General features: G+C 35.1%; 1 protein-coding gene across 3 annotated transcripts in view, besides 2 other annotated features; it reads right to left on the bottom strand.

The window, feature by feature from the left end:
* Nucleotides 1-17,383, bottom strand: part of MRPS9 (mitochondrial ribosomal protein S9) — a 61,892-nt gene that overhangs the window by 4,658 nt on the left and 39,851 nt on the right. For 2 of the 3 annotated variants that reach the window (NM_182640.3, XM_011511644.3), the window contains 5 exons: nucleotides 15,241-15,320; nucleotides 6,234-6,319; nucleotides 5,308-5,383; nucleotides 2,734-2,902; nucleotides 1,665-1,773 (listed from right to left, as the gene is read on the bottom strand). In NM_182640.3, coding sequence (NP_872578.1) covers nucleotides 1,665-1,773; nucleotides 2,734-2,902; nucleotides 5,308-5,383; nucleotides 6,234-6,319; nucleotides 15,241-15,320 — 520 coding nt within the window. Of the gene's footprint in view, nucleotides 1-1,664; nucleotides 1,774-2,733; nucleotides 2,903-5,307; nucleotides 5,893-6,233; nucleotides 6,320-15,240; nucleotides 15,321-17,383 lie in introns of those variants that run through there. The other variant, XM_047445533.1, reaches the window with a different exon arrangement.
* Nucleotides 13,603-14,550: an enhancer, noted in NCBI's record as "VISTA enhancer hs868". NCBI's record gives its function as "enhancer in: neural tube[4/4] | hindbrain (rhombencephalon)[4/4]" and the evidence as "EXISTENCE:transgenic organism evidence [ECO:0001131][PMID:17130149]".
* Nucleotides 13,943-14,444: an enhancer, noted in NCBI's record as "NANOG hESC enhancer chr2:105697317-105697818 (GRCh37/hg19 assembly coordinates)". NCBI's record gives its function as "activates a minimal SCP1, AML or CMV promoter by ChIP-STARR-seq in primed H9 embryonic stem cells {active_cell/tissue: H9 hESC(primed)}" and the evidence as "EXISTENCE:reporter gene assay evidence [ECO:0000049][PMID:30033119]".

The raw sequence follows: 17,383 nt of genomic DNA, 5'->3' as shown, positions 1-17,383 counted from the left end.
TTTAAGCTCCCAAACAAATGGCTGTCCAGAAGCCTCCCTTGTAACTTCACTTACGTGGCTAACCCACTTCACTGTGTGTTAGGTGATGACAGAATTCCGATCAAGATCCCTGATTCTGGGTTGGTTAGTCTTCCTATTAGTCAATGGTCACCTCACTGCTGATTTGTAAGTTCCTGAAGTGACTGCCCTAAATCCTTACAACTACTTTAAAATAGTTGTAGGTGCCCATTCCCACCAAGACTAGGCTTAGGCTTCCCAACCATGTAGGAAGTTTCTTGACAATAGGAATCATATCTTAAATATCTCTGATATCTTCACAATGCCCAGAACAAGACTGGAGACATAGATGTCCTTAGTAAAAAGCTGCTGAATTCAAACCAAAGAATAAGATCTAAAGATGTAATTTCATTATGAGATCAAGCCAGAATTGAGACTTGCTGTTAAATCATCAGGAGTTATGTCTGAATACAAATCAACAGACAGGTTATTGGTTAAAGAACAGTCCTCCTATAGTTCCCAATGTTGAAGTTATCAAACCCTGGGGTATGGGTTTCTCTCTGGCTTTTCCTAAGGGAAATAAAAGCTTCTTCCATCCCCTGTCCTGTGAGGATAATAGCAGAACTAATTCATCTTAAATGGAGTTAAGAATGCACTGCTTGTTGACACAGGCACACACAAATAAAATAAACACACATTTCCTAAAATAATTATTGTGTCCAGAAGCTTACACTGTATTAGGAGGGTCCTCTTTTGCCTATATCAGCATTGGTATCAAAAGAGTTTTAGCCCTTTTGACCTTAAATACCGTAACACATGCAGGAAACAGGAGAAGGATTAGGAAAGGAGGAACTAATCATACCAAACTTCTGTTACTCGTGGATAATGACAGTAAGTACTGGGAAAATAATAACCATATCAAGAAGAGGCCTTTATATAGCAAGTCAGAGAGAGTTCTGAGATGAGTATATTTAGATTAGAAGAGCTGTAGTATCTATTTATGATTAATGTCTATTTCTCCATAGGATACAAAGTTTAAAAATTAAAACTGCCATATTTAGCACCCAGAACTAAGCAAAGCCTGATGAGTTCTTATTTTAACCCATAAATGCTAGGTTTCTTTGCTTGCTCAATATATATAATCACATTCCTCTGAATAGGAAAAAATCCAAAATGATAAAGCAGAATTTTTCTAATATTTATGATCAGAAAAACATACACAAGCCACAAGAAATTACTTGCACTTTTCTTTGCCTTGTGAGTTAGGTCAGTTTTAAGTGCCAAGGCTGGTTGTTGTGGTGGTGGTTTTGTTTTGTGCACGCCCATCCCCAAACTAGAAGGTGGAAATCTAAATCAAAATTTTTTACATTTTGGCACAGTCTGCACTTCAGAACATAAGCTACATCTAAGACTACTCAAACTGCAGTAGGATCTGATGAAAAGGGGAAGAAGAGTCAATTAATGAGGAATTCTAGAGATGCTTTTTAAAAAATCTGGAAGCTGCTTTAAAAAATAGCTTCAATTAGCTAGTTTGATATGTTACATTGGTAAAGAGAAATAATCATTCAGATAAACAGAATTAGAAGATCACAAGCCTTCTTAAATGATCATGATGTATTATAAAGTATGTTTCCTTTAAAAACAAAAAATCAGAACCCAAAACGAACCTGTCCTGTGTGATCGGGAAGTAAAGCTGGTAATCAATTCCATTTACTTTTATTCTTCCACTTCCATGTTTATAAACAATTGCTTCTGCTTTTGCAGTCTTTCTTTTACCTTCAAAAATATAAAATTCCTATTAGTAAATATCTTGAAGACCTGCGCTTTGAGACAGGTAAAACTACATTAAAATTTGTTTCCCCAAAATAATACACAACACTGTACATAAGCAAGTCCTATAACTATTATTTCAAGTCAAACAAAAATAAAGCAGGTAAACTACAGCACAACAGATGCAATAAAGCTCATTGTGGGGTAATTTTGTTCTTCAATTCCATTTTAGAAACACTACAATGATTTTAAATTAGTTTGAACAACCAACAAAGTAATTTATATTCATTTCCCTTACGAGAATCCACAACCAATTTACATAGCATTCTTCTTTTATAAACAGTAAGAATATATCTAACAACATAAGTTTTAGAAATATATAAATAGTATGATGAAATATAACTAGTAGAAATAAAAAAATACTCAGGAAAGGTCACATTTCTTTGAAAACACCACAGTAGTTAAAAATGACAATGACGTGAAATCTTTTAAGAGTTGTAAATATTTTAATAGTTCAAGTCGTAAAAGTTGGACTACGTCTAATGGCTCTGAACAAGAAAAATGTGAGTTAAGGACGTGAAGTTTTCACATTACATAGTTTTGGCATTTGATATGCAGATTCATTGAGCATTTTCATTTTTTGCAAAGAAAACTTTATTATAAATATTTTACCGATTCTAGCAGCTTAAAATGTGAAAATTAAAAGATTCAACAATATAAATGTGTGAAAAGAAAAAGTGTTAATATGACTGTATAGGTATGCATCCACATTTTTTTCTTAGGATATTATACAGTTCAGTTTTGAAAAACTTCAACAGAATCTTAAAAATTAGGAAATCCAAAGTAACGGTAGCAAAAATAAACAAATAAAAAATCTAATGGATACCAGAAAGCAATAGCAAATAAAAATAATTGTAGTTTTTCAACCTTCACTGAATTTATTTTCTCTCCACAGAATGTCATTACCTTCACTTTTGCTAAAGGCCATTCCTTGCTCATCATACTGTACAGGTTCAATCAGCTGTTTTTTTGATTCAAGAGTTACACTTCTTCGAAACCTCTGCACAAATTCTTCCTCAGCAGCACCACACTGCGATGTCAATAACTTTTCTAGCAGCCGAATGAACTGCATATACTGCAGACAATAAAAATTCATTAGAAGGTGCAAGTGTAATTGCATTTGCTAAATTTTTTCTATTTTTTGCATACTTGATCTTTCCAATGTTGCTTTTCCTGATGAATTTTGACAGGATGACACTTCTGCATCTTCACGCTGCTTTTAAAACAGCATGCAGATGCATCACTTTTCCTGCGTATCTTTAGTGCCAAATCTTTTCTTTCAAGAAACAAAGAGATTTATCATTCAAAGAAAAATCAATTTCTCTGTATTATGTTTATGAAATTGAGATTTAAATTCACTTTCAAAAAGTATTTAGATGATCTTCAAGTGTAATTTGCTCTCTTTTATTAGAACTGTATCAAGGGGAGCTTTATAAATAATTTCAAGTAAGTTATGTATAGTAATATGGAAAGAGTTTGATTTTGAGAAAATGTACCTCTTAAATTATATTTCATAATACATTTGGCAAATATATCTTTGGCTGTTCAAGCTGTGTTACTTTAATGTTTATGATTTCCTTTAAAACCGAACAATCAAGCTATTTAAAAATTCAAGAGATACTTGACTTAAAGGGCAACCTCTTGAAATAAATTATCCTTGCTCCTCTGTGCATTTTTTTTAATAGTTCTTGAACATGTGATTAGAAAGTAAACAACTTGGAATTAACCCCTTAAAATTAGAAGCCAGAATAATCACTCTAAAGTGTTTATGGAGAAGGAAACAACTAATGCTTGAGATTCTTAGTTAATATGGATTGTGAAACTCAGTTTTTTATAACCTTATTTATGTTTTTTGTCGGCGTTAAACATCACACTCATCTTTGTCACTACTGCCTTTATTGTAAAAATCTGCCATTAATAGTTTGAAATTTTTAAAAATCTCACCAGTAAGATTAATATTAAAAGAACTACTTTGACTACAGCTTCCTATGATGTAATGAAAGAGAAGGCACTCTTCTAGTAAGGGTGAAATACTCAGCTACCTAGGATATTGGGTGGGCAGAGCTCCATGCTCCTCTCCAGTCACTGGCCTGGGCGTTCTGTGCTCAGCTACTCTCTTGATTGCATCTCACAGACTCTCAATGACTTCTGCACCTACAAAGGGGCACTATGGGTGGAACTCAGCCTTGCTTCTGAACTAGGTCAAGAAGTCACTGACCACCTCCACATCCCTCATCTTGATACCAGCCATAAACATTAGGATTTCTTCTGATATCCAGTACCCCAAAGTACAAAGTATCATATATAACTTGTTTCTTTTGTTTTCATAGCTGTACACCTGTATTAAAGTCCGTGGGATATTACAAAGCAGAAAAAATACCTGAATTATTAAAAAAAAATCAAAGCAGCCAGAAACAGAGGAAATAATGAAATTACTTGTTCAGTGAAGAAGCAAAGAGATTTTTCAGTTAGATTCAAGTAGAGCAGTACTTGGCAGTTAGGATATTAGAAATTAACTCTGGATCTACCACTAACCAATTGTCTGACACTTTGTTTAAGCAAACTGCAACTTTTCCAAATCATTAATTTCTATAATACATTAAATGAGAAAAAGAACAATTCAAGTACATGACTTAAAATCTATATATGGTGGCAAAGTACTAACAATGTTAGCCACCGCCATCAAAGAAAATCTCCATCTTGGAAAAATTTGTGAAATTTATCTACACCCCAATCTTCCAGAAAGTAATAAATTTGGAACATCAAAATGTTTAAGACATCAACTGTCCTGTGAAAATGTTGATATATTAGAACATTTAACAAAATAAGAATGCAATTAAGACCTAAAGCAGGGGGTCACAAACTTTATAGGGTATAAGATTCGCCTGGAAAGTTGGTTAAAAAGATTCCTCGGTAACTCCCTAGAGATTCTGAGCTAGATCTAGGGTGAGGCTTAGGACACTGTAGTTTGTAACCAGCATTTCAAGGGATTCCGACAGAGGTGGTTTGCAGATCCCAAGATAAAAACCACTGACCTTACAGATATGGCACACAAGGTAAGCAGTAAACTGCATGAAGGTAACCATGTGCTGCATCCCTTTTCTACTTAACCTATAATGACTCCTTACACTTATCATCAGCTTGTAAAATTAGCTACTGGCCTTACGTAAGGAGATGAAACAACATCTGCCGTGCTTCCCTAAAACAACTGGCACAGGATATGAGGGCACTTACAAGAGGAGGACTTGGAGACTCGACAAGTCACCTCCCTGACCACAAATAAGGTCCTCCCAAGGCAGAAATCAATGATGAATGTGTTTTGTTTTTTTGTTTTGTTTTGTTTTGTTTTTAAAGAAAGAAAGAAAAGTCATCGTAGGAACACCTGCCTCTGAGGAACATTACTATTAGGATCCTAAATACAGCAATTGTCTGTATTCTTATTGCATAGGTCCCCTTAAATTAAAAAGATTAATTACTCACATCTAGATCTGACAGTTTTTCCACTAACATTTCTTCTAGTTCCTCCTTAATCAGCCATCTGCTGCCAATCACGTCTCTGTTAAAATATCACATATATTCTCTTTTTAATTAGCCATGCAATTAGAGTTATATCACAAAAGATCCCACATATAGTAGCAATTTTATGATTTGAAAATCAGTTTTTATATTATATAGCAGTAATTTTACCCAACTAAGCTATTTTTGACATACATTCCATTTCCTCAATCTACTCTAGAAAAGGTATCTACTCTAGCAAATGTTTTAAGAGTTAAATATGCCACTATGGAACTCACTTGGTATTAAAAGCCCACCAGATTTCTTAAAGATTAAAATTGTGCCTGTATAACTTACTTCAAAGAAGATGTTATAGATACAACGTTAACCTGTCAATAGACTAATGTGGTAGCAAGGTCAACTAAAGGGACAGGAGTGCATTTAACTTAACTTAAACAAGGTGTTCTTCCTTTATGGAAGAAATCTTGAATAGATAGGCCAAAATTTAACACTGGCTGATCAGTTTGATGGATCTGATCTTATCGCTGTCTGCCAAATGGAAGCAGAAACCTTGAAATACCAAAATATAAAAATAAAATGTAAAAAATTAAAGCATGCAAATGCTAAATAAATGTGCAGCTATATACATAAAAATTCTGAGGACATCATATCCAGGTATAGTAATTAAATATTCTATCACATATAAATCTGGGATAAAATAACATAAAAATAACTTCAATTCATGCTTCCTCCTAAACAAAAACTATCTATTATTTTGAACCCTAACCTTAATGCTTAATGCTGAAATACTGAACAAATTTTAGGCTTCAGGTATGTCTAAAAAAATACCAATGAGTGGCATGTTTTTAGTTCAAATTTTACTTATATTTTAATGCAAGAAAAGAGCTTACCTGGTTACAGTTTTTTCTGGGAGCAGACTTTTGGCTTGCAAGTGACTTTGATGTTTTTCTAAATTGAGTAACATTCCATATACATCCTATGGCAAACAAAATATACAGTACATGCTAAAAATAAGAGCAATGGTACATTATAACTTCTGATATATTTTATAGTTTTCTCCTGTAAGTACTTCCTAAGGTGTCCTCCTCCTCAGAGAATCAAGCTGCAGAGTAAATAAAACTGAAAATGCTTTTAATAATACTATTTCTCATTTAAACTAAAGGATGATAGAGTAATTTCAATGAGAATTTAGTGTCATACATCACAGCACACTTAACTTTAGCTGATTTTAAAATAACTCTATAAAAATTTTACAACTCTACTTCAGTGAGGTTGGTTAAAAAAAACCAAAAACCTTTAACTATTTTCCTTTTCTTTCAGAAAAAATCGTAATTTATATGGCAATGTGCACTTTAAACTTAGAGAATTATCCAGTAAAATATATGGTATTTATAGATACTTACGTATTATTTAATACGACTTACTACTTATTTAATATTTAAATAATATTGAAGTCCTTATCATATAGTTTTTATCTTAAAAAGAGCTATTATATTTTTTATTTGATTTCCTCCTATTAATTTACTTCCTAACAAAATCTGTGAATGCATGTCACTTGTTAAATTACAATGGAAGTAGAAGTTTGCCATTTTGTTAAAACTTGCAAAAAGCAATAATCCAGCAATAAGGATCATCAATGAAATATATTTTCTAGGCAATGAGTTTACAACAAGCAAAATAGTACAGCTTTTGCCTGAGCAAACTTAACTTTTTGAGACTAACACTCAATACATTTGTATTTATTCATTTATAATTTACACATAACCTACCATACTAATACCCAATGAGCAGATAGGCATTTTAAAAGAATGAGCCAGAGATGACATAAATTTACTTTTTTTTTTTTTTTTGCTAATCATGATACCTCCTAGTATCAGCAAATCTCAGAAGATACACCTTGTTACTGATAGAGATGTGTCAATCCATATCTCAAACAGTCTTAATAATTTCAAGTTTTCAGGGGCAACTTCTTGTGGGCTCTGATTAGACTGCCATATTACCACATAATGTTGCTGATAAAGTTTTATCTAAGTGTAGGAGAAATGTCCCTTTGCCACTGTCATCACATTTACTAGTGCTTGCATTTTAGCATGGTCTTCACTCTGCAACCTGTTTTGAGGAATCAAAGGAAGGAAGGAAGGAAGGAAGGAAGGAAGGAAAAAAGGCAGGAGGGAGGGAGGGAGGGACGAAGTACAGACTGAGCCTTTGAATTTTTGTAACATAGATGAGAAAAGCCGATATAATACTCAACAGGTAGGACTCCTCAGTGAATAAGGATGTAAAAGTTCATTCCTTTTGGCTGGGGAGATTCATGTAAGTGTTTTTTGCTTTGTTTTTCATTAAGCGTAGTAGAATTGAGAGTTTAGAAGAGAAAAGAAAAAAGAAGCAGAGAGAAAAGAAGAAACAGCACTAGAAGCTACAAAATTGGTGGTGAGCTAGACATTACCAGTAGACATGAATATCTCAAAACTGAAAGTAAATCCATCACTCTAGCTCAGCAATTCTAAAAGTGCAGTCCCTAGATCATCATCAGCAGCAGCAGCATCCAAGCCTAGACTGGCTAGAAATGTACACTCTAAGAACTACAGAGAATCTAGTTCAACACAATAGCAGAGGGACAAATGAAGTTAATTTCATCCTAGTATTCATATTAAGTGGAAATGTCCCTACAACTACATCCCAAGTACATATCCATCACCTGCAGCAGCAGAGGAATGTATCTGACAATTAGAAGACAAACAAAAGCCAACTGTCCACCCTAAAGCAAAACCACAAACCATCCACATATAGAAAAACAGGGGTATATATCCACATATATATATCCCTGTTACTCTACTGAAAGTAAAAGTTTACAATTTATCTCCCAAGAATTGGTAAGCCTTGCTGACTGTGGTTAGGGTACCTTTAACTCACTTTTAAAGGCTACAATACTGAGTTGGGACTTCAAATGGATAGTATATCAGAAAAATTTCAATACACCTCTGTTTCTAGAAGCAATTCTCAAATGACCTGAATAAAGAACTCCCCCCACCAAAAAAAATGGATGCTCCCCACTTATACGAAATGGACAGACGCAGGCAAACAGCATGCCACTGCGCACCCAGCACAGCCTGTCAGCAGGCTGGACCACAGGCAGACTGTGGCTCCATTGGGGTGCTCTGGTAAGGAAACTACATTCCAACTACATATCCATCACCTGCAGCAGCAGAGGAATGTATCTGACAATTAAAAAACAGCTCTCAGCTGCCGCGTCCAGAGTCCTGAGGTTCAGAGAGTGCAAGTCTATCTTTCAAACTAGCGAAGAATATATGAACTTAAAAGAATGCCAGCAATAGTAGTAAATTGCTGAGTAATTTACTACCCTCCTCCGCTTACAAGGGTTTACTTAATTTTCTGAAATAATTAAGGCAACTAAAATAACAACAATCAACCTATCTTGTACGTAAGTTTTAAGTCAAAGTATAGGCTGTCATTTCCCAATGACTTTTGAGCAATTTTTACTCTCAGTCCTTATTTTTCTTAAAGTATTCTTCTATGATGCCATTTCCTCCTGTTGTACTGAGATCTATAATAATTTATAAATGGTACAAGTAAAACTATCAGAAAAAAATGTGGAAGAGGAGAAAACAACCCATGAAAAAGACATGTCAGATTTCAAACACGATGAATTCGATTCATTTGTGGCAAATGCTTACAATTTGATGATTGTAACCCATCAAATCACATAATGCCCATTAAGCCACTCCATACACTTCTTTAAATAGGAAAATATATGTAAAGTACGTACTTAGCACAGTGCCTGACCTATAGTAATGGTCAAGAATGATAGCGGGGGTGAGGTATGGCTTTCAAGAGTCAAACAATTTTACTGGTGCATCATTTCCATTTATTCTTTCTCTTTTGCATAATAAAACCACTCTTAAGATTCTACCTTGGTTAGTTAGAGACAACAGTTCTCTGGAAAGTAGATTCTATAGCTTCAACTCCCTGAAGAGATGTGTGCTAATTTACATCAAAAAAATCCTTAAGGGTATAAAATATGCCAAGAACTGTCAACATCACAGATTACCACTGGTAGCTTCTGGTATATTGTTAAGTTTCCACTTAATTTTTAAGGGACACTAGAGAATTAGTATGACTCACCTACACTAAGTTTATATACTGTATTTAACAGTGTAATTTTCAAATATGACAGGAATAACCCAGATGTGAAATGCTGAATCATTAATCACAGCTATGATTAATATTTCATAAAATCAAAGCAAGCCTATCCACCCCTCGTGTCATCAGATTTCCATAATGTATGAGTCAAATTTAGAAGGTGCCTAATTTGAAAATACCAGATGCTCAGGTTGCAGAAAAGAAATGCTTAAACTAAACCCTTCTGAGAGTATGAGCACTATGATTTTTAGTATCCTTCTGAAATCTGTTTTGGTTCTATTAATCATGTGGAAATTCCAATTTTAGGAAGTGTAAACAAGTAACATTTCATGGGGAGGTGATATAGAAAAAGTCTATTGTATTTTGGTACACAACATAAATAGTAACTAATAGTAATTATCTTAGATACTAGTATGGTAATAGTAAAGTAACTGACTTAAAATCTGTGTTTGTTAAAGAAATCACAGAAAATCAATTTCTTAAATTCTCTCCTCAATTTTTTGGCCACTGGCATATACAAAATCAAATCAAACAAATAAAAATGTAATCCACTTATCATTAACTAAGAGGTTTACGCTATGTATCTCAAGTTCCAAGTGACATACTTCTGTTATAGACTCTTGCTATTACTTTGTGAATACAATACAATATACTATATAGATTGTACATCATGTAAATGCCATTCAACATACAAAGAAAATCATCTCAAGATGGAACATATGAAAAAGGACTCTGGGGAAGTCCACACCCAGGAGTGATGACCTGAAAGTTCTTATAACTCAGACAGCATATATTTTTACTATTCAAATTAAAGGCCCATCATATATTATAGTAATTATACCATTACAAAGAGGTAATCTAATTAAAGCCAACATAGAGACAATAATATGTTGAATCCTTTTCTAAAAAATTAATTTTCTTAATTGGTACACTTGGAGCATACCAGATATACAATGGTAATTATTCATATGGGAGGAAAATATACATTAAAGACACCTCTATAACAGCAATTTCGACTGCTGAATTAATTACTGAATTAACTCCTGCTGTCAAGGAAAGTCTTAAAACAGCATGCAAATATATTTTAGCATCAGTTTGTAGCTTTTTTAAAATAAGCACTTTACATAGTTGTAGTTATTTCACGACACCTCACTGCGAGAAGGGTCACTATCTTAATTTTTAAAAGACAGCACTACATGCAAGAGTTTTAAATATTCTCTGCAAGGTCACAAAGAGGATCTAGACACATCTGAACTAAGTAAGAATTCTGTGATACTCCGTCCCCAGGACTTCTGCTAAGAGTCTGGAATCTTCACATAATGAAGCAGCACACTTCTGGGGCTGCTGTTCCAGGCTTTAAGAACCGAGTAGGTTACTGAAGTCCTTTAAAATGAACTGGAGATTCTCCAAATACGCCAGGAGCTTCCTTCACAAGGCAAATGAACCCTGTGTACACATACGTTACAAGGATTAGAATTACCTGGTTTTCTCTCACATTTTAAACTTTACTACTTATCCCTTCATTTTACATATATATATATATATATATATTTTGGTATATATTTCATCTGTGGCCATGTAACTCCTTCAATTTAAAGAAATACTTTGAAAATACTCAATTGTTTACTGTAAAACTGGTTCTAAAACATAAATGAAGTTTCTACACAATGCTAAAACCTAGTGCAGTGTTTAGAGTTGCATACTTTCCTTTCCTTAAAGACTGGGATGAGGGGAGCTTTTGTAAAACTTCAATAAATGCTTAGGGTATTGGGGCTGATATCAGTCGTAAAACTAGGACTTTATTAACCTCTCTTTTGAGAAAATGTATTTATCTAAGGCGAGTAATGCCTACAATGACAATATATAGAGTTTTCAATATTCTGTACTATGGTCCTCCCCAAGCACTGGTTTCATGGGACATTAAAAGGGGTTTGGAGTAGGAAGTGTTCTACAGCCCACTCGGTTTGAGCAGCAGAGTGTTAAAACAACATGTTTCTTAAGGACTTCACAGAGCTTTGATCCTACTAAGTGTCTCCTTATTAGAGTTCCCCAGTACACAATATGTAACATTCCTAAACTAACACCACTTCAGAGCCTCTTTCCTGAAGAATATTTCACAGTCTGTATTCTGCAGAAAGCACTTTGGGAAGAGCTGTGTTACAGACATGCCTTGACTTAATGAGCCATGTTTTACAAAAGGGTTACCACTTCAGCGTCAAATAATCCCCTCCCATTATGAGTTTTAAAGGATTTTCAACTTACTTTTAGTTAGTGAATTTTAATTTTTCAGAAACATATGTATTGGTAAATGTTTTTTTCTTAAAATTAAAGGACCTTCACAAACTGAACCATGAACACCAAGGCTGCGGCCCACCGTTCCCTTTGCCACCAGCTTGGTCATCCTGGACAGGCCCAAGCTGCTGCAGGAAAGGAGGTAACCCTGGTGGGGTTTACAGCCTTGGACCCAAAGGGCAGCCCACTCTCTGGCCTAGTCCTTTCTCCACTTCCCGCAGTCTACACCTAGGCTAGTCACAACTCGGTTATCTTGCTGTATAGCATTTTATTTTTTACACAGCCATCTATATCCTCTTTAACATTCTTCCCCCTCCTTCACACCTTTGCTCAATTGTTTCAGGAAACTTTATTCTTTCTCTCTTTCTTGAAACCTAAAGCCCTAAATCATGTCTGAAAAGCAAACAAGTTATACTGGTTAAATGGCTATTAAGGAAATGAGAAGCCATCCATTTTTGGTGAAAAAGCCAGCCAAGCCAGTGCCACCATGCAGGGGATCCCTTCATGGTACTCAATGATGCATTGAGAAACTCAAGAAGTTTCTTATTTCTTCTTATTTAAATTACTTTTTATTAAGAAATCATTTGTTACTATGGTTTTATACTTTTTCATTATATACATACATCTTATTAGTGTAAAATAAATGAGTTTTTAATCGACTTTCCCAGGAACCTGAAGACATGTGGATCATTATATCCATAGGAAAATGGGAGCCCCAAGTGCCTTGCAAGTGAACCTGTGGAGTGTGGCACATTTCCAAAACGTGAGAACATCACGGATCAGCAAATCCCCCTTCACTTTATACTTTCCTATCACGCTTCATTTCTGGGCAGGAACAATAAACTGTACCTTATATTTCATGGCCATTTTTCCTCAAAAACCTCCCCATTTCTCCAGAGAAAGTGGATGGACTAAATATAGGTCAACTGGAAACAGGATTCACTAAAGTGTCATACACAGATCTTAAGATGCACTGCAAGGTGCATCAGGGCCATCTTTTATTAATTGCTATAACGTAATATATACGCTTCCTATGCAAACAGTCACCAAATACTAAAAAGATTTGTCAACTTTACAGAGGATAAGAAGGTTAATCGGCATCAGAAGGGTCTCCTCACATAACTGCACACAGGCACTAGATGTGTTTTCCTGTCACAGCTCCTGGCCAATGGCATCTGGGCCTCGTACAATTACAGTTGGGCAATAACGTGGGAAAAACAGTTTGGCTTAGTGTCTGTTACCCTGCCACATAGGGAAAAAATTATATCAACAAAAATAAATGGTAGCAACAAGGATTCATTTCCAACTCTTTAAAGCTTGCCACAGTCTTCAGGGGCGACCTCCCGTGCTGCAGTGGGGACAGCCATCCTGTGATCACTCACAGTGGGAAGGGGACGGTTCCCCCCACCACCAAGGCCAGGCAGAACAAAGAGAGTGCAGACAGGCGAGATGGCTCCAAGTGTTATAGCTGGACTTTCTACGCAGTGCCTGGCCACTACAAAAACGCTTCTGTAGGGTGAATGATGAACATTTAGTCACTATTTCAAAGTCTCAGTATCTCCTGCAGATGATCGTGATATGTGTTATCTGGGAAACTAGGCTGGTGTGACTGCAGCTGTAATTAATGACACCTGCTATACATAATGCTGAAATGTATGCATAAGGCATACACTTAGAAATTACTGCATTGAACTAAAATATAAAAGCCCAAAGGACTCTTCTATAGATACGTAACAAAACTTAAATTACTCAAAAACAAAGAATGTTTATTAATCAGATATCATTTGACATTTTAGTCAGAGAGTATGGTAACATTTCATCCACTTAGAAACTGATCAGTTTCTTGAACAATACCTTTTAAAACATAAAAACAAACTTAGAAAAGTTAGGTCTCTTATAGGATGTGTAATTTCCTCATTATGATGGAATGTAACAAAATATCTTGCCCTTGGGTTGCTCGGTTTCAGCCAAAACAAATGCAAATGGCATGTCAGATGACAGCTGTTTGATAAGGCTCCTCTACAAGACCTGCATGCTTTACTTTTTTCCGTGAAACTTGGGATGAAAGGCAGAAGGCAGGAAGAGAATTAATGTAGCATACAGTCTAAAGGCAATGCTACAACCGTGATTAAGTAGAAAAGTTAAAAGGCACAGATTTTCCACAGCTTCGCTGCGTGCAACCCATCCGTGTAACAAGTTGACAGGCCTAGCGCGTCAGCTCCATCATCCCCTCCGACAGCTAAAACGCAGCATTGCATCCCTTTTCAGAGAAAATTTGCGTCTGCACCATGAAGCGTTGTACATTATTTCTTAGCACTGCAGGGGGCTCAAGTCCATATGGAACCTTCACAAATATTACCACAGATCAAACCGGCGGCGTTTGGAGGCAGATTTGACATACCTATTTAAATGAACAGCAGGGGTCCCCGGGCAGCCTCAGGCTGTGCGGGAGAGAACCTCTACCGAGCCGGAGCCGCAGCTCCATTACTCAGCAAAGACACACTCTACATTTATCATTCATTTCATTTCTGCCAGGGCAAGAAGCTCATTTGCCCAAGGTCAACAAAAAGCGAAAAGAAGGTTGTTTTTTTTTTTCCCCCAAGAAATAAATGTACCTGACAAGTGGGAATTTTGTCCTTTGGGTTTGTGGAGCACAAATAAACAGCAGATAATTCTAAAAAGCAGAGTAAATGTGTGCACTGATTCAAGCCACTGCAATCTGACTGTAGATGGGGGAAGCCCAATAAATATTTTTGAAACTTTAAAAAATCATATAATGAGTAAAATAGAACTTGATATCATGTTCTAAAAATAAAAACAGAATATTGGCATCCAGCCTTTTTTTCCATAGCAGTTCTGGGGAACTCTTCCAAATTTGCACACTATCAGACACTTATAGCTCTGAAAACAAAACAAAAATTGTTCACAGCATACTAAATGCAGTTGGAAGTCAAACTGTAATAAAATAATTTCTTAGGTTGTTTTGGGGCCCAAATTCTAGGCTCATACACTGCATTAACCTATGAAAGGCAAAAATTATATATATATAAAACAACAAAAAATGAGAAATAACCATTTGATTCTTTTTCAAGGCAAATGCCTCACAGCCCCCGACAGCATCATACACTTGGCCTCCTCCTTCTTTACCCTGGAAGCACATGTACACACTATAATTGAGTTGAACATCTATCTTGGAACATGATTTCAATTTCTAAGTAAAAGCATTTTAAAGACAAACCATTCTGATATAAACTCTATAAAGTTCACCTTTAGCAAAAATGAATTACTATAAATCATTTCATCAACACACTGTCCTACCTCTAGAAGTCTTATTTTTGTCAATTATAAAATACTAGGTAAATTCTGAAGCTGCGAACAGTATCCAGTATAATTAGTTTTGTAGCTTACAGCTCATATTATTTATCATAAATGCAATATACTTACATGCATTAATGAATAGTATGACTGTTTGCCAGTATAGAAGAGATAGTGAAATGGACGGCCATCTTCTCCCCACTGGATTGCTGATTTAAAAAAGCCAGATGAAAGCAAATAAAAATATACACAGAGACAGACCAAATAGCTGCATTTAACCACAGTTATGAGACACATTTATAATTGAGTAATAAAAAATACAAAAAAATCACCAACATTTAGAATTTTAATATTTAGTTTAGCATATTTATATGCAAATATTTAGGATATTAAATATTTCATACCATTAACATAAAACAATGTTTACATTTAATTTAAAAATTACTAAATATTTCACTATGAGAATTTCTGTATTGTTTCAAATAAAAGCTTATAAAATAGCCCAAATCATCTTGTTAGAATAAAAAAATTTAGGTTTGGCCATAAACATAACTCCCTCCCATATTTTTAAAAGGGAAAACTGATAAAGTAAAAAAATGCAGTGCATTCAGAGAATCTAAAACAGGTAAACAAATGAAAACTAAAGAATGTATTTTTCTATGCTACATCATTTGTTTCAACCCAGTGGTCATCAACCTCCGAGAGTTTAAAACATCAACAACAGAAAAGCCTCAAAAAGGTGTTGGGTGTAATTCCTTCTGAAATACAGATGGGCATTCATATCTAACTAACCACCACCAAGCAAACTGAGAAGTGGTGTTAGTCTAAGAAACAAGACGAATGCTAACTCTGTGTCCTTTGCGCATACTATCTCTGTTGTATGCTAACTCTGTGTCCTTTGCGCATACTATCTCTGTTGTTTCTCTGAAGCAGATTATACTTCCTGGTCCATTACAGAAGTTGTAAACTATTTTCCCCCAGGCTGTCACTTGCCTTTTACTTTTACTTATGTTACCTTTCATAATCGAGAAGTTTAAAATATGTAAATAGTCAAATCTGTCGCTTTTCCTCTACGGCAGCATGACTTGTTTTTTCATGATTCATCCCATGAAGGAATCCTTTATAGGCATTTTCTCCCTAATTTCCGCCCCCGCATGAAATGTTAATACCACAGATACACTACACATCTGCTGAAGTATACTGTGGCCCACTGGAGGGCCACAAACCATTGTAACAGTTAGGTTTCCCCACCCCCGTGAACCAGTCTTTGCCCCCACTGAGGAAACATGCTTTAAGGCTTTGGGCTCTCTAAAACTATTTTCTTGTATTTCTTCTGGAATTTTTATTTTATTTTCATGTTCAAATATTTAATCTATCTGGAATTTATGTTTGTGAGGCAGAAATCCAAGAACTATTTTGTTCAGTAAAGAGTCATTATCTCTCTACAGTTTTTTGAATAGTACATGCTTTTCTATTGAAATACCACCTGTATTATATGTAGGATGTCTTTCTTCTGAAACAAAGACCACATTTTCATAATAAATGCTAAAAAGAAAGTCTTGCTTGGGTATTTAGCTTGAAAAACCAAATTCTTATTTGCTAATGGCTTATGGTTGATTTCAGCACTTTTCCAAAATCATTGTCATAGACTTCATGAATCAAATCCGGCATATTTTCTAATATTTTTCTTTTCTTATGCAATTGATTTTCACTGTATGGTTAGTCCGTCAGAAAGTGATAAAAAATGACAAACATCATGGCTGCAGACAAGACTCTACTGGTAAGCTTGGAGAGATGCTTGAGTTGAGTCTCATATCATGGGATTGATTTCATTACATATGTGAATGTATACACACACACACACACACACACACACTTGACTTCACCGAACCTAAGGTATCACAGATTTTAAGATGCCTCATCATGTATTTTATATATCACAAAGAAAGAGAAAAAATACTGTCAAACCATGATATGTATCATAGTTTACAAAAATTGTGAAGTGTTCCCTGCTGTCAGACATTAAAATTTGAAAAAAAAAAAAAAAAAAGTCTTAGAATTAACTGAATAAGGCACAAACACGTGCTGCCAGGACTTTGCTCATTGGTCTGTCTACTCTGCGTCAGTAACCACCATTTTAATTAGCAGAGCTTTTTGCTGGGTTTTGATACCAGGTATGATGAGCTTACTTCATTACTTAAAACAATTTTTTTTCCCACTGCTTCTTGCACAACTAGACTTGACAAGTTTCTCCCAAAAGTTGTGCCAAAAC

Source organism: Homo sapiens, chromosome 2 (assembly GCF_000001405.40).
Source record: "Homo sapiens chromosome 2, GRCh38.p14 Primary Assembly".
Lineage (NCBI taxonomy): Eukaryota > Metazoa > Chordata > Mammalia > Primates > Hominidae > Homo > Homo sapiens.
The sequence above is the reverse complement of the archived record's forward strand: the minus strand, read 5'-3'. Positions and strand labels throughout refer to the sequence as shown.